Here is a 23,701-nt window from a genome sequence, read left to right on the forward strand (position 1 = left end):
ATTTTCTTAATTTTTGTATTCTGTTGAGCTTTGAAAGTTATGTATATTCTAGATGTGAATCCTTTGTTGGATATATGGTTTATAAATATCTTCTTTCATAATTCAGCAGAATTGAAAATAAACATTTAAAAAAATGTAATAATAGGCCAGGTGCAGTGGCTCACGCTATAATCCCAGTTTGGGAGGCCGAGTCAGGTGGATCACGAGGTCAGGAGTTCGAGACCAGTCTGACCAACATGGTGAAACCCCGTCTCTACTAAAGATACAAAAAGTAGCCAGGCGTGGTGGCACGCACCTGTAATCCCAGCTACTCAGGAGGCTGAGGTAGGAGAATCGCTTGAACCCAGGAGGCGGAGATTACAATGAGCCGAGATCATGCCACTATACTGCAGCCTGGGCAACAGAGCGAGCTTCTGTCTCAAAAAAAAGAGTAATAATAAATTCAAAACTCATAAGCTTAAAAAATGTACAGCTTAAAAAATGTACAGTCTGGAATTAAACACTTGAGACTCTGGAGTTTGGTTTGCTTTTGAATTTAGACTATGCCATTTATAAGCTGTGTGACCTCGGGCAGATTACTGAATGTCTCAGTTCCTCATTTGTCAAATGGGGATTTAAAACAGCATCTATCCTATTGGGTGGGTTGTGAGAATTAAATGCACTAATACACATAAAGAACTTGAATATTGCCTGGCTGATAAGTGTTGAATATGTGTTAGATATTATGCTATTTTTAAAAAGTTTACATCAACTTTTGCCTAATTACACTTTTTATTACTTTTTAGTGGTTGGATTTCATCCCTTACTGGTCTCAACCAAAATATTCCTGTTGGAATCATGATGATAATCATAGCAGCACTTTTCACAGCATCAGCAGTCATCTCACTAGTTATGTTCAAAAAAGTAAGTGAAATTTTATGTCTAAATTTTTATAGTGAACGTGATGTAAAGTTCTCATTTTCCTATTTTGCTATAATTTGGTGTAACCTGAAGCCATTTTATCGTTATTGTATGAGTTTGCTCTCTGAGGATTACTTTTTACAATTAAAAGTTATGCATAAGTACATTTTAGAAAATTGCATCACATTTTAAACTTCAGTAAAAAGGGAATATTTTAAAATCATTTTAACTGAAGGCTTTCATGAGTTAAAGAGTCAGCCTCATTTTTAAAATTTGGATTTTTAAATATACTCTAAATTTCTTTTTTTTGATATGAAGGATATTAGCCTGTTAATAAATAGAAGTAAAATTATTATGTGATATGTACATTTTATTCATATATATCTCTTAGGTTTTTGTTTTGTTTTTTAATTTTTTATTATAAATTCAGAGGGAACATGTGCAGGTTTGTTACATGGTTATGTTGCATAATGCTGGGGTTTGGGCTTCTATTGAACCCATCACCCAAATAGTGAACATAGTACCCGATAGTTTTTCAAGCTTTGCTCTTCTCCCTCCCTCCCTTTTGGGTCCCCGGTGTCTGTTTCCATCTTTATGTCTGTGTGAACCCTTTGTTTAGCTCCCACTTCTAAGTGAGAACATGCAGTATTTGATTTTCTGTTAGTGTGTTAATTCACTTAGGATAATGGCGTGCAGCTGCATCTATGTTGCTACGAAGGACATAATTTCATTTTTTAGGTGGTGTAGTATTTCGTGATGTATATGTATCACATTTTCTTTATTCAGTCTACTATTGATGGACGCTTAGGTTGATTCTGTGACTTTGCTATTGTGACTAGTGCTGCAATAAGCATATGAGTGCAGGTGTCTTTTTGATAAAATGATTTCTTTTCCTTTGGTTAGATACCCAGTATAGGGTGATTGCTGGGTTGAATGGAAGGTCTATTTTTACTTCTTTGAGAAATCTCCATACTGTTTTCCACAGAAGTAGAACAAATTTATATTCCCGTCAACGGTATATAAGCATTCCATTTTCTCTGCATCCTTGCCAACATCTGTTGTTTTTTGAGTTTTTAATAATAGCCATTTTGACTGGTGTGAGATGGGAATTATTGTGGTTTTGATTTGCATTTCTCTGATTGGTGATGTTGAGTTTTCTTCCATTTGTTGGCTGCTTGTATGTCTTCATTCAAGAAGTGTCTGTTGATATCCTTTGCCTACTTTTTAATGGGGTTTTTTTTTTCTTGTTGATTTGTTTAAGTCCTTTATACATTCTGGATATTAGTCCTTTGTCAGATGCATAGTTTGCACATATTTTCTCCCATCCTGTAGATTGTCTCTTTACTCTGTTTATTCTCTCTTTCTTTCTTTTGGTTTCTTTTCTCCTTCCTTCCTTCCTTCCTTCCTTCCTTCCTTCCTTCCTTCCTTCCTTCCTTCCTTCCTTCCTCCCTTCCTTCCTTCCTTTCTTGTCTTTCCTCTATCTGTCTCTCTTTCTGTCTTCCTGTCTCTTTTGTGAAAGAGAGTCTCACTCTGTCACCCAGGCTGGAGTGCAGTGGCTCAATCTCAGCTCATTGCAATCTCCACCTCCCGTGTTCACACAATTTTCCTGTCTCAGCCTCTTGAGTAGCTAGGATTACAGGTGTGCACCAGCATGCCTGGCTAATTTTTATATGTTTAGTAGAGATGGAGTTTGACCATGTTGGCCAGCCTGGCCTTGAACTCCAGACCTCAAATGATCAGCCCTCACAAAGTACTGGGATTACAGGCATGAGCCACCACGCCCAGCCTGTTTAGTGTTTCTTTTGCTATGCAGAAGCTCTTTAAGTCCCATTTGTCAATTTTTGTTTGTGTTCCATTTGCTATTGAGGTCTTAGTAGTAAATTCTTTGTCTAGGCCAATGTCTAGAAGAGTATTTCCTAGATTTTCTTCTAGGATTTTTGTAGTTTGAGGTTTTACATTTAAGTCTTCAATCCATCTTGAGTTAATTTTTGTATGTGGTGAGAAGTAGGGGTCAATTTTATTCTTCTGCATGTGGCTAGCCAGTTTACCCAGCACCATTTATTGAATAGGGTGTCCTTTCCCCATTGTTCATTATTGTCAGCTTTGTTAAAGATCAGTTGGTTGTAGGTGTGTGGCATTATTTCTGGGTTCTCTGTTCGATTGGTCTGTTTTTGTACTGGTTACCATGCTGCTTGCTTACCATAGTCTTTTTTCTTTTTTGAGACAGAATCTTGCTCTGACGCCCAGGCTGGAGTGCAGTGGCACAATCTCGGCTCACTGCACCCTCAGCCTCCCCAGGTTCAAGTGATTCTCATGCCTCAGACAGCCAAGTAGTTGGGACTAACAAGCGTGAACCACCATGCCTGGCTGATTTTTGTATTTTTAGCAGAGACGGGATTTCACCATGTTGGCCAGGTTGGTCTCTAACTCCTGGCCTCAAGTGATCCGCCCGCCTCAGCCTCCCAAAGTGCTGGGATTACAGGTGTGAGCCACTGTGCACTATAGTTTGAAGTCAGGCAATATGATGCCTCTGGCTTTGTTCTTTTTGCTTAGGATTGCTTTAGCTATTCAGACTCTTTTTGGTTCCATATGAATTTTAGAATTGTATTTTCTACTTCTGTGAAAAATGATGTTGGTAATTTGATAGGATTGTATTGAATCTATATATTGCTTTGGACAGTATGGTCATTGTAACAATATTGATTCTTCTAATCCATGAATGTGGATGTTTTTCCATTTCTTTGTGTCATGTGTGATTTCTTTCATCAGTGATTTGCAATTCTTCTTATGGAGTTCTTTCACCTTCTTAGTTAAATGTATTCTGGATGTGTGTAGGAGTGTGTGTGTGTGTGTGTGTGTGTGTGTGTGTCTATTGTAAATGGGATTGGGTTCTTTATTTGGTTCTCAGCTTGAACGTTGTTGGTGTTTAGAAATGCTACTGATTTTTGTATGTTGATTTTGTATCTTGAAACTTTTTGTTGGTTTTTTGAGACAGAATCTCACTCTGTTGCCCAGGCTGGAGTGCAGTGGTGTGATCTTGGCTCACGGCAGCCTCTACCTCCTGGGTTCAAGCAATTCTCATGTTTTAGCCTCCTGAGTAGTCGGGATTACAGATGTGGCACCTGGCTAATTTTTTTTGTATTTTTAGTAGAGATGATTTCGCCATGTTGGCCAGTCTGGTCTGTAACTCCTGACCTCAAGTGATCTACTTGCCTTGGCCTCCCAAAGTTCGGGATTACAGGTGTGAGCCACCACACCCAGTCTGTATCTTGAAACTTTACTCAAGTTAGTTATCAGGTTTAGGAGTCATTTAGGATTTGTAACTGCCCAGTTGTTTTAGCTACACTTCTTCCTGTAGAATTCCCATGTCTGTTTTCACAGCTTTAAAAAAAAAATCATTACATAGAGGAAGGTAAATTAGTGTTTTTATTTGTTTATTTAAAGTTTTATTTTGTCTTGGATATATGTAATTTTGATATATTTTATATGTATTCAAACATGATATTGAGACCTTGGGAATAACACCTATGTTTTAAATGAAAAAGACTTTTTGATAGGTCTCACTTTAAAGAAAATAAGTCCTTATAATTTTTTTTACCATTTCATTACTTGAGACTATGTATGAGGAATGCATAGAAATAATTTTACCTTATATTTAAAACCACTTTTACTCTTTCAGTACTTTACTCAGACATTTGTCTTTTATCCTTCTCAAAACCCTACGAAGGTTAGACTGTGTCCGTTCTTCCATATTTTCTCTATTTGAAATTTTTAACTTCTCTTCTGCACCAAACACACATACCATTGACACTCAGCTCTCTAATGTTACTAAATCCCTTTTCCAGTTTTCCTCCTCCTTAACCTCTGTAGCTTTCTACACCACAGATGGCTCCTCTGCTAAGACTTTGCAATGATGTTCTAATTCTCTTGACTCTCTGGCTATTCTTTCTCCTCCATTTCTTCATCCAGTTCATAAATTAAGGTCTTAAATGTAATCGGCTCTTTGTGCTATGCAGTCATTTTCTTTGGGAATTTCATCTTCCCTTATTATTTCAGTTTCTTCTCTACCTAGATGACCTAGAATCTTGGAATTGGAAAAGATAATGCATTGCATAAACCTTTAGTTGCATCTTCAATTGGTCATTTTCATCTCCAGTTGTTGATTGATGTCATCTTCTCACAGTAATGCCTCATAAACTCTTCAGTTTCTTAGTGATAGATGTTCCTTTTGAACGTTCTGAGTAATATTCAAGAAGCATTTATTAAGACCACATATTGTATAGATTCCATTATTGTGAAATGTATAAAATGGGCAAATATATAGAGACAGAAAATGTATTACAGCTTGCCTGTGGCTTATGGGTGGGGTGGGGAGTGAGGGTAATGAAAGTATTCTAAAATTAGGTTGTGTAGATATTATAGTCACAACTCTATGAATATACTAAAAATCATTGAATTGTACACTTTAAAGGGTAAAATGCATAGTATACAGATTTTATCTTAATGAAGCTTTTTTTTTTGAAGAAACACTTATTGAATACCTACTAATGAGATGGCACTAAGCACTTTATGTAATTCCATTGAACATTTTTGTCAGTGCTGTGATTGCTTCTGTCAGTGCTTCCATTACTTCTTTTTTGAGACAGAATCTGTCTGTCGCCAGGCTGGAGTGCAGTGGCGCGATCTTGGCTCACTGCAGCCTCCGCCTCCCGGGTTCAAGCGATTCTCCTGACTCAGCCTCCCAAGTAGCTGGGACTACAGGCATGCGCCACCACACTCAGCTATTTTTTTTTTTCTTTTTTTGAGATAGAGTCTTGCTCTGTCACCAGGCTGGAGTGTGATGGCGTGATCTCTGCTCACTGCAGCCTCCAACTCCCTGGTTCAAGCAGTTCTCCTGCCTCAGCCTCCTGAGTAGCTGGGATTACAGGCATGTGCCACCATGCCTGGCTAATTTTTGTATTTTTAGTAGAGACAGGGTTTCACCATGTTGGCCAGGATGCTCTTGATCTCCTGACCTCGTGTTCTGCCTACTGGGATTACAGGCATGAGCCACCACGCACAGCCACTTCCATTACTTTTTAATTCACTTTCTTAGATACCTTTTTAGTATCTTTTCCATTTCCAACCTCAGCTAATCCAGAAATTCTTTTTACAGGTTACTTATATTCCCTCATCCTTCTCGCAGTCCATTTAATATATAATTCCTATATTAACCTTAAAAAAACCCCAACAAATTGGCACTCTGCAGATTTTTGACGTGGATCTGGGATTGGGAACGGCATTTTGGTGGCAGTGCGAAGAAGGGCTACATTCAGAAACACCAGCATTGCTAAGGTTGTAAAAACACACTACATGCCATAAAGCCATCAAATGGGCCTTAATAACCTAATGATGAAATCACTTTTATTTTGCTCAGCCATACTCTGGGCCCTATGCAGAACACTTCACCAGTATTATGCCATTTTGTCCTCTCGGAGAATCACAGATTGGGATTATAGTGGTGGTGGGAAGAAGGGCTAATGGTGACGTCTCACAGCTCCATGATTCACACTTTCTATTCTTGTCAGACTGTACTGCTCGGTTTCTTCAAATACATCATGTACATTCCTTTGTTCCAGATTTTGTTTATATGATGTTTTTTAATCCGTGCATTAATTCGTCTTCTCTGCTATTTGAAGACCTACTAGTATTCTTTCAAGACCCAGCTCCGATCTTGCTGTGTCTCCCAGAATGTTTTTTGTTGCCTTGTATCTTAGGGACCATGTCATTCTCTGTTTTCTTGGGGAAACTTAACTGTCTATATTGCTTACTGTGGCACCTGGGCATAAGCCAGTTTTTATGCCTTATGGTGCATGTATTCTGGGTACGCAGCTGTTAAGCACCCCCCGCGTGAACAAGTCTTTTAGCATTGGAATTAGATGAGAAGAGCAAGAGTTTTGCTTTGGAACCATACAACTCAGGTTGAAATTTTGACAGCTTCACTTACAGCTCTGTGACCTGAGACAGACTTCTGTAACCACTCAGGTTTGGTGTCCTCAACTGTACTCCAAGCTGCGTGAGAGTGGAGACCTGTTCTGTATGCTTTCAGGTTGTAATTCTCACATCTGGAACAGTGACATGCAGTGATTGGCATGTGATAGGCACTCAGATATTTGTTGAATAAAAGAAGGAATGGGAAGAGTAACCACTTTCATAGGGTTGGTGTGAGGATTAAATGAAACAGTGAATGTAAACTGCATAGAATAGGGCCTTCTCAGTTAATAGTTTTCCTTTCTGATCTTGACCTTTTTATCATTTTATATTCAGGGTCTGGTTTAGTGTCTACTTTTGTTTAGTAGATGCCTTTATCAGTCAGCATGCTATCAGAAACAGAAAGAATGAAAAGGTTAATTGCGGGGAATTGGCTGGTGAGGTCAGTCTGATATCAAGAGGGCAGGCCGGAACTCTCAGGCAGAAGTTGAAACTCTGGTCCACAAGTGGGATTTCTTCTTCCTCAGAGGAACTCCAGTTGTGTTCTTAAGGCCTTTCAACAGATTGGATGGGGCATACCCAGATAATCTAGAACACTCTTCTTAAAGTCAACTGAAGGCAGATGCCGATTACATCTACAAGATACCTTCACAGCGGCACCTAGGTTAGTGTTTGATTGAATAATTGGAGACTGCGGCCTAGCCAAATTAACATGTAACACTGACCATCACAGCACCATTCTTTGGAGAATTCCTTTATTATTTCACATGTATTATTGAGGGTGTTTTATAGAAGTAGAAATGTAATACATTTTGAGTATAGTAGAGGGTTTTGTGGTGTGTGGCAGTTTTCACTCATTTGTTAAACAGCTGTTATTGAGCATATATTACGTGCCAGGCACTGGGCTGTGCATGAGCTCAGAGAGATCACCTGTTGGTGAGGAAGAGAAATAAATTGGTGGGCCCCCCAATTCAGTTATTTAATGGCCATGATAGAGGTAAGTATAGGGAGCAGAGGGACACCTATCAGGTTTTGGAGGTCTTTTTAAGTATTGCCTCAGCTGAGATATAATGATGGCTGCTCATCATTATAGTTATCTAAGCAAAAGAATAAGGGACAGGGAAGAGGATAAGAGGGATAAGGAGGTACCAGAGAGTGGGGATACCACGTTCACATCTAGTTGTAGGAAATAACATGGCAAATTCAGGGAATTAAATGTAGCTCAGAATGGATGGGAGATAAAACATGGTGTGTGAGCTGGGGCTAGGAGAATTGTAGGTTGTTGGTATTGGAAGATGAAATTGAACACGTAAGTATAGTTTTATCCTACAGGGTCTTGTTAAGAAGTTTAAATCTTCTCCAAAAAGTGGTAGTGAGCCATAGAAGAGTTTTAAGGAGGAGAGTAATTGAATTGATTAGATTTGAATTTTAGAAGCATTTATTCTGAAATACATTTGGGATTTGCGGGGCCGAGCAGTCGTACTTGGAAACACTTAGGAGACGGGCTAGGAAGCTGATTAGTAATGATGGTGGCCTGAACTGAGGAAATGTGAAGAAAATGTAGTCAAGAGAAAACGAGCAGGTAAGGATTAATCCAACTGGGCCTGGAAGTAGGGGACAAGATAAGACTCAAGGATGACACCCAGGTTTTTAGATGATGGACCATTCAAGAAGAGAGTACAAGAAAAATGGTTTGGGGATCAAGATGTTTTCCACGTTGACCTTGAATTTGGGGAGTTTAAATTAACTGGTGGGGCATTAAAATATAAATATTGAGTAGGCTTTTGTATATATGAGTTAGGAGCAAGGGAAGAACTTTAGGCTGGATTTCTAGACTGGAAAGTATTGACTTGTTGAAGTAAATGAAGCCTAGAAAGTGTATGGAGTCAGAAGAGGGCTTTGGGGAGAATACTCACAACAATTAAGACTCTGCTGTGGGTGAAGTATAAAGGGAACTTTAACCATCACTGGCAGTGGTTGAGGAATGTGTGGCACAGATGATCAATAGAGCCAGGGTGTGGAGGAAGTGTTTATTCTGTAGCTGTTCTATAATGAACTACTCTGTGCACACTCTGAATACTTTGACCAGCAGTTTTTTTCCTTTCCATTTTCCAGGTATACAGTTTTTCAGGATCCACCACACAAAGGAAAAGTTATAGAATGGTGCTCATATGCCAGGCATTGAAAAGAAATATGACTTTCTCGAATAAAAGTATTGATATGGATATCATGCAGCATACTCTAATATTTTGTTGTTGTTGTTGTTTTTACCTCATAGTTAAAGAAGTTACCAGAACTTCTGTTTATATGTGTTCACAAGTTCCTAAACTTCTCTGGGTCTCAGATTCTTTATCTGTGAAATAAGGAGTTTAGATGAGATGATTTTCTGTATGATTTTATGAAGTACGATAGGGATACTATAAGCTAAAATATAATTTGCACCAGCTTTCATATTTTAATAGCAGGCATTTCTCTTGCTGTAATAGAAATTAAGATCCAATTTTAAAAACCTAATTTTTCCTTTTTAATTTTCTGTTTCACACTTGGTCAAAACTGGCAGTTTAATGACAAAAAATCCTTTGCAGGTATGTAGCAGTATTTATAACCACTAGGGGTCATGCTTTTCAAGAACAGTTAATGCCCTCTAACCGTAATCTGTGCACGGTTTTGACTCTAGAATTGTTGGGTTTTATTAAGCTGTTCTTCTCTTAAGGTAAATGTGCTCTGTCCTATATATTTATCCTAATTGAAGTGAATAGGATTTTGGTAATTTCGTTGGCTTTCTGTTGTCTTGCATAACTGAAGTGGGTCATCATTGGTGCTGCAGGGCCCAGTATGAGATTGTGCTGTTTGTTTCCCCCACAGTGTTGTTTTATACTCCACATTTCAAATATTGAAAGAATATATGTCTCCTATACATCTGCATGGAGAAGGGTCTAGTTTAGTCCTTATCTTTCACAAATAGATTTCTTGTTTTCTTTCAGATTATTTCCAAATGGTGTTTTTACAAAAGCTCCTCTTTCTATTAGAACTATCAGAAAGAATTGAGTAATGGTTTTGGGCCAAGCAGGGAGTTGTTATAAATGTGTCAAATAACAGTAAATGAATGCATCACAGGAGACTATGGATCAGGGAATCCAAAACTTTTCCCTTCTGTTAATTGGTATGGCTAGAATAACTTAATATGGAAGTAATTAATAGATGATATATCATTTGTATTCCTTTTGGGACCTGATTTTGAATGATTATCACTTCCATGAAATTTGTTCATAGACTGTCATGTTCACATTAAGTAGTTTTTAATAGTGAATTTTTTGCATTTTGAAAGAATTTTAGAAAAAAGTTATTTTACCTCTTTAAAAAACAAGTTTTCTGAAGTGTTTCAAATCTTGTTTATTTACTACAGTATATATTCTGCAGATACTCATTTTTGTGGGAGCGCTGAATTGGGTCTATGATAGAGAACACTGTGATTAAGTCTCATTAGTTGGTGTTTTATGGTAAATGCTTTGTGAAGATATCCTATTATATATAAAGTGATAGTTTTCTTAGGTGAAAAGTGACTCTTACAGTTATCCCTCTATATGCAGGGGATTGGTTTCAGAACCCACACATCCATATACCAAATCTATGCATACTCAAGTCTTGGAGTCAGCCCTGCAGAACCCATGTATACAAAAAGCCTTCTGTGTACTTGGGTTTTACATCCCATGAATACTGTATTTTCTATGTGAGTTTGGTTGGAAAAAAATCACATATTATAAGTGGACCTGCCCAGTTCAAGGATTATCATCTATACTTTCTTGAAAATATTGTTATCATTCACCTCTCCCCCTTGTCTCTTCCACTTTGTAACTTTATTTATGACCTAGGATAGAAAGCTGATAATTCCACTGTACTATTTTTCTATAGTCACAAATAGGCATGCTACTTCTCTCTCAGAACCATTCAGCACTGTCGTCTTTGCTGACTAGGAATCAATTCTGGATGGTTCACATTGTCTATTAAAATAGTCATCCAGTTACTTGTCACCTTCTTCTAAGGGACACAGATAGAGTAATACTTTTGAATTCCTAGAAAAAAATGGCACTCTTGAGCAGATTGTTTATATTCTGTCCTCGGCTGATACTCTTAGTATATTCACCAAAAAAAAAAAAACTTTACCCCCAATTTTAATTTTGTTACCTTTTTCAATAAGTACTAAGCTAGCTACTTAATAGATCCCAAATCTAGGTTACTATAACTAAATTATTATTATCTTAGGCATCTTCAAATTTGGTAGATTTCGTAGATTGGTGAGTATTTATAATGCTGTTCATGTGGCACTTTCATCTAAGTCATCTTTATATGCATATTTTTATCAGCTTTATTGAAATATAATTCACATACAATTCACCCATTTAAAATATACGGTTTAGACTGTGCATGGTGGTTCACACCTGTAATTCTAGCACTTTGGGAGGGTTTGGGGGGCCGAGGCAAGAAGATGACTTGAGGCGAGGAGTTTGAGATCAGCCTGGGCAACATAATGAGACTACCCTCCAACCCCTTACAAGACATTAAAAAAAAAAAAAAAAAAAAAACAAAAAAAAAAAAAAAAAAACAACAACACAGCCCAGGCATGGTGGTGTGAGTTTATTGTCCTAGCTGTTGGAGAGACTGAGGTGGGAGGATCACTTGAACCCAGGAGTTTGAGGCTGCAGTGAGCTATGATTGCATACCACTACACTCCAGCCTGGGCTACTGAGTGAGACCTTGTCTCTAAAAAATACAAAATAATTTAAAAAAACCTAAAGTATACAATTTAATGGCTTTTGGTGTATTGTATTTGTTTTAATTGTGGCAAAATATGTATAACATAAACTTTGACATTTTAATTACATTTAGGTATACAATTCAGTGGCATCAATTACATTCACAGTGTTGTACAACCATTACTAATGTCTATTTCCAGAACTTTGCATCACCCCAAACAGAAACTCTAATCATTAAGCAATAATTTTATTCCTCCCTATTCTCAGCCTCTGGCAGCCTCTAATTTGCTATGAATTGCCTATTTTAGATATTTCATATAAATGGAGTTATACAATATTTTCCTTTTGTACTTGGCTTCTTTCATTACCATAATGTTTTCAAGGTTCATCCGTGTTGCAGCATGTATCAGAAATGCATTCATTTTTAAGACTGAATAATATTCCATTGTATCTGTATACTACATTGTTTATCTGTTGATGGGCATTTGAGATTTTCCCACCTTTTGGCTATTGTGAATAGTGCTGCCGTGAACATTGGTGTACAGTTATCTGTTTGAGTCTTTGCTTTTACCTCTCTTGTGTACATATATACCCAATGTGGAATTCCTATGTAGTCTTATAGTAATTCTATGTTTAGGTTTTTGAGGCACCTCCAAACTCTTTTCTGGAAGGACTGTATCATTTTACATTCCCACCAGCACTTTCTCTACATCCTTGCCAACACTTGTGATTTTCCGTTTTTCTCATTCCAGCCATCCTAGCAGGTGTGAAGTAGTTGTATACTTTAAAAACATTTAACCTCTGAGGTGACTGCAAACTAAGCATTTTACTTTGTAACACAGGTATAGTCTCCTTAAGCCATATTGCACTTATTTGGTACCTTCTAAAAATTATTATTAATGAGGACAATTTTGGAACATTTAATCCTCAGCAGGTAGTAATAATAATTATTCAGTGGCTTCTACTGCAGATTACTAAGCTGTGTCTTTTAGGGGGTGTAACAATGAGTAGAATTAGTTCTTGCCCTTAGGCAAGTAAAAGCATGTAGGATATAATACAAAATGGACAGAAACCCTGTAAAAGAAAAAGTACATACATGCTCCCCAAAATGTACAAAGGATTGGCGGTACTCTCAATAGGGAAAGCCATAGCTAGTTCAGGCACAAAATGGCAGACAGAGCATTATTTGAGATAGTGCTTAAAGGGTGCGTGAGATTTCGACATGGTGAAACTAGACTGGCAATTCAAGGGGTTACAAAAGGGATATCTGACCCATCTGTGGGCAGGAGGGTTCATAGAGGGTTTCCAGAAATTTCAAACTGAAAATATTAGGCTTAGACGTCCATACTTTTTTAAAAACTCAAAACAAGAATTTAAAAAATATATTTAAAAAACTCATTTGTTTTTATTTTCCCAGCTTTTATAAAAGTTGAAATAATTTTGGCATGACAGGGATCTTAATAAAAGCACAGTTTCTTGAAATGGTATTCTATATGTTTTAATGAAGACATATGTTTGGGTTATTTAAATAAAGTGCCATTATTCTTTACTTCCCACACGATACAGTTTTTCTGTGTCATATACCACCACAGCATGTATTGTCTCTGAAGCTGCATTAAGGAGGCAGGACTCCTTTATGGAGCCGCATCTACATTTTGGCTGTGACACTTCGGCAGATACTTAAAAATTAATTTAACTTATGTTAGTGTAACTCATTTATATACATTCTGATTTGATCTTTAGGAAAACTCAGAGGAGCAGATAGTGTAACAAATATTCTTTTTTTATGGGAAGCAGACTTGAAGTTTTGAGTGGTGGCCAGCCAGCTAGAAAGTAGTGGAATTAGTATATACCAAATTTAATGCCTTTTCTGTGATTTTCCTAGAACTAAATATTATTTTAGGAGTAATGCAGTTCTCATAAGTAGAAAAGATAGTATTTAAGTTGTTTAATTTTTTTTTTGAATTCTCTAGGCTATTCTGCATTTATGGAATTTTCCACTAGGTAATATGCATTCAGGTCACATACACAGTGAGATTTTCTAAAGTGACAGTACAGATAAAAAGGCTGTGCAACTTGGTGATAATTGTGCTCCATTTAAGCAACCATCAACTGGTGCATTTTTTTAAAGATAAATTAGATTTTATCAAAATTGAAATATTTTTTCTTTTTGATACTTTATGTTCTGGGATACATGTGCAGAACATGCAGGTTTGTTATGGGTATACATGTGCCATGGTGGTTTGCTGCACCCATCAACCCATTATCTACATTAGGTATTTCTCCTAACGCTATGCCTCCCCTTGCCCCCCACCCCCAAGTTGTGTAATTTTTTAAAAAAAATTATAGTACTTGGTGTCAAAACCTTGTCCCTGATATCAGCAGTATGAATTATTAATAGATACCATCTGAAACCCTGGAGGGAAGTAATAAGCTTTTAAAGATGTTCATCCTGATGATTAGCCTGTCATCTTTCATGGGGCCCTGAAATCAAGAATCCACCCTTTTTCACATGGATATAATGGATTTAATACAGTATTTAGCATTATGCACTGTATATATATGTGGTCTTTTCCCTCTAGGTGGCTCTCTGGGTCTATATAGATACAAACTATTGAGAAATGTGGCTATTCCTACCTTTATTTTGCTTCTGTGTTCTGTGGGACTGTGAATTACATTTTAGTAAACTGTGAAGCCCATGAACACATAGTATCAGCTGCTCAATTTAGTGCAAGTTTGAAAAAGGAAATAATAAAGCAAATAAGAATTAACATTTATTTATTACATGCTCACAAACTTGGGGGAAGAGGGGAAGAGACAGACAAGTGAATCCAATTGCATTGCTCTGGTTTGGTCTAGTAAGTAAAGAAGGTTGATAAGATTTCTATAATACACTTCATTTTCTAGGATCCAGTCATTTGTACTCACTTTGAGATAAGTGTCTGGAACATAGGAGTAGTGATTTATCTATATCTTTAATTTTCCATAGAAAACTTGGTTTTAAAAGGGAATAAAAATAATTACTTTTATACTTAATGATAGTGCTAAGGTACTAGGGGAAAGGAATCTTTGGATTTACCAGTATATGTATTTGTCAGTGCTCTTTTTCTTCCTGACCATTTGACACTTTGATCTGTAGTAATATGGCGTTTGCTTTTACCACTGTATCAGAAGCACTCAGGGCTGTGTGGGTTATTTTTGTCTTGTACCGTGATAGATTTTCATGCATTAACTTGCTTTCTTGATAGTTTTTCTGACAGCTTTTCATGTGTTAACATGCTTTCTTCTCTTGGCATCAGTGAGAAGTATCTGTATCTGGTTCTTCCCTTTCCTCTCCCAGTCATTCTTTCTTCTTGTGGATGCCTCTTAAATAGTGTCTTTTTAAAACAATTTCAAGTTTTATTTTAGATTCAGGGGATACATGTGCAGGTTTGTTACAAGGGTATATTATGTGATACTGAGGTTTGGGGGACAGTTGAGCCTGTCATCCAGGTAGTGAGCATAGTACCCAATTGGTAGTTTTTCAACTCTTCTCCCCCTCCCACCTTCCCCTATCTTTTAAGTCCCCAATATCTATCGTTGCCATCTTTATGTCCATGTATACCCAATGTTTAGCTCCCACTTAAAAGTGAGAACATGTGATATTTGGTTTTCTGTTTCTGCATTAATTAGGTTATATACTTGATTTTATTCTCTTTCTACTCTGGGTTCTCCATAGACAGTTTCATAAATGCCAAGGTTTCAGCTATCATTTATATGTTGTTTTAGTCCCTTTGGGCTGCTATAACAAAAATACCATAGATTGGGTAGCTTAAACAACAGATAATGATTTCTCATAGTTCTAGAGGCTGAGAAGTCCAAGATAAGAAAGACACTGACAAATTCAGTATCTCAGGGGGGCCAACTTCCTGGTTCATAGACAGTTTCTGTGTCCTTTTGTGATGGAAGGTTGTCAGAGAGATCTCTGGAGTCTCTTTAAAAAAAAAAAAAAGTTCTTTTTGGAGACGTATATTGCCCAGGTTGGAGTGGAAGGCTGGGACCATAGGTGTGTGCCACCACACTGGGCCTTGGGGGTCTCTTTTATAAGGGCATTTATTCCATTAATGCAAGCTTCACCTTCATGGCAAAATCACCCCCGAAAAGGCCTGCCTGCTAATACCATCATATTGGTGGTTGGGATTTTAACATAAGAATTTTGGGGGGAACACAAACATTCAGTCCATAACATATGCCGTTGGTTTCCAAGTCCATGTCTTTAGCCCATTCCTCTCCCAAGCTTTGAACCAAACCTTTACCTGCCTGCTGTGGCAGGCCTAGAGTAGGTTGTCAGTAGAGTTGGAATGAATGAACAAATGTTTAGAACTTATCATCTGCCTTCTCCCCAAACCAGCCTATCCTCTCTTTTCTCTGTCTTCTTGAAACTACTTTCCCAAATGCAAGCTTGCTTTGAGAATCTTTGACTCATTCTTTTTCTTACCTCACAGTTACCAGTTCCTATCCAGGTTTGGAAAAAATACTGACTTGGATGCATTGGCCCTTCCCTAAGCCTGCTTTGATTGCATTCCAGTCAAGCTTCTAATTTAGATCCAGTCACAGTGCAGTGTAATTACCAGTATCTTTCTGTCCCCACTCTGCGAAGTTTGTGGGCATATAATTAATAAATGTTTGTTATTTCCTTCTTCAAATTTGTGTTAAAATAAGTGGCTGATGTTATGTATTGATGGACTCATAGTTTAATTATGCAGGTTTTAAGACATATACTGATAGAAAATTTTTGAACCCTACTCCTGAAAATAAATTCCAAGATTTGAGTGATTAATCAGTATGGAGAAACAATTCCCAGAAGTGTTTCTTTGTGCATTCTTTAGGACTTGACCATACACAAAAAGTTAAATTGTATACAGAGTGCATAGCGGCAATATGTTGAAGGACATAAGTAGTGCTTGGTACATTAAATGATAAAATGATCTCATTTGATTATAACAGGGCCTGTGGTGTATATGTAGATAAAATGGAAATAGATAAGGTACTGTTCTCTCTGAATAGTCTGGGGTAATAAATTAATGTATTGTTTCTTGTTATTATGTTTAAACCATTTCATTGTAATGCTGTAATAATTTCACTTGACTAATTGGGTGCAGAGGAAAATACAACTTTTTGAAGTTGGCTAAGAAGTTCTTTATTTTTGGTTTAAATTAGCATAATTATCTCTTCTGCTTGGAGAAGAAAAGGAAAACCTATATTAAGAAAATGTTTAAATACAATTATTGTGTGTCAGTTTGGTGGCTAATATTCTTGATCTTAGGAATCATGACTACAATCTAGTATTTTTATGTTTGATTAATGTTGAGATTAAGAGCTGCTGGAAATGAATGCGTAGGTTGCTACTTACCTTCTCCCACTTTTTTGTGCCTCTGTAGGTACATGGACTATATCGCACAACAGGTGCTAGTTTTGAGAAGGCCCAACAGGAGTTTGCAACAGGTGTGATGTCCAACAAAACTGTCCAGACCGCAGCTGCAAATGCAGCTTCAACTGCAGCATCTAGTGCAGCTCAGAATGCTTTCAAGGGTAACCAGATTTAAGAATCTTCAAACAATACACTGTTACCTTTTGACTGTACCTTTTTCTCCAGTTACTGTATTCTACAAATATTTTTATGTTCAAAACACACAGTACAGACAGCATGGATATTTCCTGTTCACTTGTGCATGGGCTAAAACCAGGAAAACTTCCTTGTCTTATTACTTTACCTAATAGTTTCTTAATATTTCAGTGCCCCTTGCAGAAAAAATATTACATGCTAAATAAATATTCTCCATATTTTTGGGGGATGACATTCAGTGAATTATTTCAGTGGTGACCCACTGAAAATTAATAATGGTACTTATGATTAAAAACGCATTTAATACTAACTGCAGTAGTTCTTTCAAGAATCTTTAGAGATAAGGATTGCACATTGGAAAAGTAAACCATGTTTCATTCCTTTTTCCCTATTTATATTGAAAGAAATAGGCCAGCAGAGACTTAGGGATTTTAAATTGGCTTGCTTTTTAGCTGTTTCAGTCACCAGTGAAGAGCCTATGTGCATTTTGTAGTAGATAATGTAAAATTTGTCATCTTTTTCTTTTCTTTTTTTTAGAATAGCTGATATTTTGATAACAATCTCTAATTTGCATGGGCACCACATTTCTTATATTAAAAGAATTAGTGTTTTGGCTTCTGTACTGCTTATGGTTGTAGGATTCAGGGGTTAATGGAATCACAGAAATGATATTCTGCAAGAATTTCTTTTAAATAAAAAGTTTGGGGGTGCAATATAAGAAGTTTATATAATATGCAGTACATTATCCAAAAGAGAAGGTAGTTAATGCAGTAGAAAGTAGTGGTAATAATTCCTTTTTAAAAAAATTTCGGTAGTCATATAGTAACATTTTGCTATATGAAAACTTTGGTATATTCTGTGGTTACAACTAAGATTGTGTCTGGCAGCTCTTTTTTGGGGATGTGTGTGTGTGATTTTTAACAGAGGTATTAAAGGCTAGCCTAACTGTTGTCTAAAAAGATTGTACAGTATTTAAGGGATTTTCCTTTTAGCTTTTCATCTCCAGTGGCATTAAACATAAAAAGACCCTGGCATTTTTTCACATACTTGAATCCCTAAATGCACCTGTCTTTCACTTTTTGAGACAGACTGAATATATCTAAAATTTCCAGCAATAAAAAAAAAAGCATTTAACTTGCACCAAGCAAGAAAATATAAATACAGTTAACTGCATTAAGATAATCACGTTAAAATTGTTACTATGCAGCACAGAACTTCATTCTTATAGTATTCTTGGGTTCAACCTTTGAATCAATTTTACCACTGATTAAATAAATGACTCAAAGACATCTGTAAGTCATGCTGCTGTGTTTTGAAAGTCTTTAACTAAATTAAGATTGCAGAATGATAGTGATTATTCAATTAGATTTTAAGTAAGGATTGTGATATTAGAGGCTGGAAATCCTTATTTTTTAAAAAATCAGATAGGCATAAATAGTTAAATCACTTTCATTCTCCCCAAACCTGTAGTTACAGAAAAAGTTTTATGCTAGAGGTGGGATGCCAAGTTTTCACTATCCATGAAGCAGCGCTGCATGTCACTAGGTAACACAGATCCATCCAGATGGTGTTTACATTTGATTTATTTGGGATCTTATTGACATCAGGTATACTTGGAAGACATTTCTTTTATTCTTCAGCGTATGAATTTAAAGCTATTTTTTGTAAATATTTCTAATCAGCGATAATTTCTACCTATGTTCTCAACCAACTTAGCCAGTTTGTTTTTCAGAGCCTGTAGTCTTATTGGAAATCTATTTTATCAGTGTGCTTTATTGAGTGTGGATTTTGCATACATTCAAAACATTAACCACAAAATACAGCAAGTGCACCTATATTCACCATTAACTTATATCCCAAGTCCATTTTTTCCTGTACACTACAAACAAAAGATATATTAGAGACTTTTGAAAAATGCTGAAATACTTTGCTTCAGAATTGGAATGTTTATATTATGTAGAAATCTTCAAAGGTAGCATTATTAAATAGCAAAGAATAATTAGAACCCACATATCTTTTTTTGTGTGGATGGGGAAAATGTTTTAAAATCCAGTTATTTAATATGAGTTTGAGAGAGAAAATTGTTTTTTAAAAATATATGTGCATTGAAATGATGGCAATGCTTATAGTATGATCAAGTATGAAAGGAACTTTAAATTCTTATATTTACTTTTCTCTCAGTAAATTGTTAAATTTTCACTCAGCAAAAGATTGGCATTTGTTAAGTGTTCTATATTTAGTACTAAAATCACAGTCATGAAATCATAGTCATAAAATGGTCTTCACACAGCAGTCATCCGTGTCATTTATCATTTTGTAATATTAAATTATGGCAATTTTATTTCAAACTAAAGTTTGAACACCGGAAAGTCATTACTCAGTGATTTGTAATTTGGGACTTGGATTATTTATCTAGAGATGTTTGTATATTTTGTCAGTAACTAATACTGCGCTGCCATCATGGTGACTGTCATGGTTCTACAGAAATGCCCTCCATGTGTCCCTCTAATGTTGCATGTTTCAGTGGGTTGGAAGTTTTGTATATTTATTGTATTAACACAGAGTGTCATAAAATAAAATGCTGTTTACTGGATGTTTGTTTGTATAATTTTGAACACTATAATAGCAATTCAGAGACAGACATTGTTAAAGGTTTGATGTATATAGAAATTCCATGTTTGATTTTTTAAAATATGTGTATAAGTCTGTCATGTGCTAAACAAAATAATATGAAAGACCTAGTTAAAAATTCTAACCAATGTAAAATGACCATTTTTCTGTTGCATTAGACCTTTACAGGTAATGGAACATGAGCTTCACCCATATTAAATATTTTGGCCCCTTTAAGGTCAAAATACAGATCATCTAGAAGTTAGATTCAAAATGGAAAACCTATTCATGGCTCAGATTTTTCATTGTGGGTTAAAAATGGGTGTCTCTGTACTAGTATTGTATTTATTCAATTGAACTTGTATTCTGATTTCTATCCTTGCTACCTATTGCTGTTTTATGTACTGATGAAAGTACCTATTTGTGTATATTGGATTTTTCACTTGGTTAGCTAAAGAAGATGTAAAAATATCTAAAATAATGTTCATGGTGAATCTTATTTTGAGAAATACATGTTAAAAAAGGAACAGTATTCTTTATTTTCTGGGTGTTATATTTAAAAAAGCAAGTTTGGATTTTTACACCTAATTTACTAGGAAAATATTTTATTCTGTAATTCATGTTAAGATTATGTATGGTTTGCATTTTAAGGGGATTTATGTTAGGTTAATTAGTTGTTTCTGTAAATCATTTGTAATAGCATAGTGCTTTTTACTCATTGCTGTATCTTTTTCTGAAAACACTGTTGTTAACATCTAATTCAGTATCCTTATTGGTACAAATCTGTGTTTGGCATGACTGTTTATATACAGAATTTGTTACATTTTGAGCATTTTTTCCCCTGCTTATGTATACCTTAGAGTTACCATGGCTGTCATATACCATTTCACTATATCTCCTTTCAGTTTTTCCTTAAGGAAAATGTTTAGAGGAATTTGTTCATTTCATGTGATTAAGCCCTTTAGAGATGAAATAAGATTGGTTAATTTTAAAAAAATTGAGGATGGTTAAAAAATAGAAAACACCTTACTTTGATACATTTTAAAGTACAATAGTATACATTTATTTAGAGTAGACTAATGTGTTTAAAACATGAGTTGTTTTAAATACTTTTTTATTGAGCTAAAAAGTTTTATCTCACATATTAAGTATTACAGAAAGTGAAGTATTTTGGCTAGAATTTTAGGGCATATTTTATAAAGCAGCATGCCTGTAATATTGGTGGGTATTTTTAAACTTTAGGACTTTATCACAGTATGTAGAGAGCTAGAAATAAATCTAGAAACTTTCTAAGCCAGGTATTGCCACTAACCTGTCTTATATAAGCAGATACCTCTTATTTGAAGATTGTAGGAAAATAGAGAAAGACTGTTCTCCAGTTTTCTCACCCCCGCTGTGGGTTTTATATTTACAATTTAACTTTGGGGTTTGGGTAAGACAAACATTTAATGTATAGGATTTTGGCCAGGTGTGGTGGCTCACGCCTGTAATCCCAGCACTTTGGGAGGCCAAGGTGGGCGGATCACGAGGTCAGGAGATCGAAACCATCCTGGCTAACATGGTGAAACCCCATCTCTACTAAAAATACAAAAAAAAAATTAGCTGAGCATGGTGGCGGGCGCCTGTAGTCCCAGCTACTTGGGAGGCTGAGGCAGGAGAATGACGTGAACCTGGGAGGCGGAGCTTGCAGTGAGCCGAGATCTCTCCACTGCACTCCAGCCTGGGCGACAGAGCGAGACTCCATCTCAAGAAAAAAAAAAAAGAATTTTCATTAGTGCTGGCCGTGTTTCAAATGGCAAGGGAACATGGGAACTATCATGTGGCAATGTAGTGAGTGTTAAACTTTGTGTTTGTCCAAATCCTGATTTATTTTTCAGTTCATATCTTTCTGGGCTTGACATGGCTGATGGTGTAGCTGAAACCCTCCTAACACTAAAAGCCATTTAATCTTTTCTGTAATAGGAGCAGAAAATAGTTAATCATCCACCTAGTAATATAAGATTACTGTGAATATTATCTTCTATACATTAAAACAGTTCTAGTTTGTAGAATAATACCATACAAGTTTTATTTTTAAATTCTAGTTATTTTCAGTGCTTACTTAAATGTAATTCTAGAATTCCTCCACAACTTTTAATATTTTGTATGCCAGTGATTCTCAAGATAAATCATGATTGTAGTAGTTGTTACTGTTGGCAGTTTGTAGTAGTATTCAGGTATTTTGGGGATGGGGGAAAACACCAAAAATCAGTGTCTTTTATCTGGTGATCACTGTGGTATCTACAGTATTCTAGTCTCCTGCACAAAAACTGAACCCACTGGGCCTATGCATCCCTCACACTTTTTTTCTAGTATAAAAGCAATACATAATGTGTTGTAGAACAATTAAAAATTCAGAAAGTGATACATGAGAAAATAAAAATAAATCCTTAATTCTGTCATCTTGGGGTACCTCTGCTAATATTTTATTGTCTTCCATTCTTTTTCTATGCATATGTGTTTTGTTTAGTTAAGAGATATAAGCAATATGGATTTTTAAAAACCTTATTTTCCCCTCACTTAGCTTTATGTCATAATGGCGCAATAGTTTAGTTTTTTAAATTAACTTTTTTAATTTATAAAATTAATGTATATTTCAGTATAAATTATAGAAAATATAAGCAAAAGAAATAACCAAAATTCTCATAATTTTACATCCATGAATAACTTCTATTAAAATCTGGTTTATATCTTTCTATTTTTCTAGGAAGACAACTTCCTAATATTAAAAATGAGATGACCCCGTACATCCTTGTACATCCTTTAGGGATGTCTACCTACTCCTCAAAAGCCCCACTTCTTTGGGTCCTTAAAGTCCACATTGGTACTGGATGTCATCTGGCCATAGTGGACTCATTCCTGGCTTATCAGTTTTTTATTCTGAATGTAGATATGTCTAGAACTCTACTGTTCCAGAATTGGAACATAAGAGGTAGCCATTTTCTGCCATGAGGAAGGAATCACCAAGAAAGCTGGTCTGCAATGAAAATGAAGAATGAAACAGACATAACAGGAGATGTAAAATGAATGACATAGAAAAGATCTTAGTGGCTTTCCTTTTCCTTTATGGAGCCCTACTTCTCACCCTTATCCCATTATCCTCATAATCTTACCGCTTTTTCTCCCTCAACTATCTTGAATTGGTTTCTTATTACTTTTAACTGGAGGATCTTAACACAACAGTTTATCTTATTTCAGTTATGATATAAATATGTATTGAAGATTTTAATATCTCTGAATATATTTCTGTAACATTTAGTATAGCTATATAGCTAACATCATATGTATGTATCATAAAGTCTTGTTATTCCTTTAGGTTCTGATTTTCAGGGTTTTAAAGTTATAAATAATTTATCAAGGAATATATTGTTGCTAAATTTGGGGACTCGGGCTTTTGTTTTTTCTTTAGGACAGATTGCTGAGTTAAAGGGTATTATGCATAGTTTTTAAAGCACCTTTCATGTGCTTTGCCAAGTTGCTCTCCAGAAAAATTTTATCCATATGTAACTCCATCAGCAATGTACGGAAAGGCCTCTTTCTTCACATCCTTGGCCAGCATTGGATGTTCCTTTTCTAAAAAGTCTTTTATCCCAATAGATTTTGACAAATCAGGTTTCTTTTCTGAGCATTCTGGTTTCACATGGCTTATGTGCTCACCCAATGCTACCGGTTTGTTTGTTTGTTTTTGTTTTTGCTAAATAGGAGTAACTGAGTACCCTGCATCCACTGAGAAATCTTCTGCTTCCTGAAAGCTCTAAGGTAAAGATAATTAGCTGAATGCTCTGTTATAACAGGATGGAAAAAGAAATGGTGGCCTCAGGTA

General features: G+C 36.0%; 1 protein-coding gene across 4 annotated transcripts in view; it reads left to right on the forward strand.

The window, feature by feature from the left end:
- SCAMP1 (secretory carrier membrane protein 1) overlaps nt 1-22,280 on the forward strand; it is a 120,123-nt gene extending 97,843 nt beyond the window's left edge. For all 4 annotated transcript variants that reach the window (NR_110885.2, NM_004866.6, XM_011543727.4 and 1 more), the window contains 2 exons: nt 786-903; nt 17,045-22,280. Coding sequence is in view for 3 of the 4 variants with exons in the window: in NM_004866.6 (NP_004857.4) it covers nt 786-903; nt 17,045-17,209 (283 nt within the window). In the remaining variant the exon portion in view is untranslated. The remainder of the gene's footprint in view (nt 1-785; nt 904-17,044) is intronic.
- The last annotated feature ends 1,421 nt before the right edge of the window (nt 22,281-23,701 follow it).

The sequence above is a fragment of the Homo sapiens genome, chromosome 5 (assembly GCF_000001405.40).
Source record: "Homo sapiens chromosome 5, GRCh38.p14 Primary Assembly".
Taxonomy (NCBI): Eukaryota; Metazoa; Chordata; class Mammalia; order Primates; family Hominidae; genus Homo; species Homo sapiens.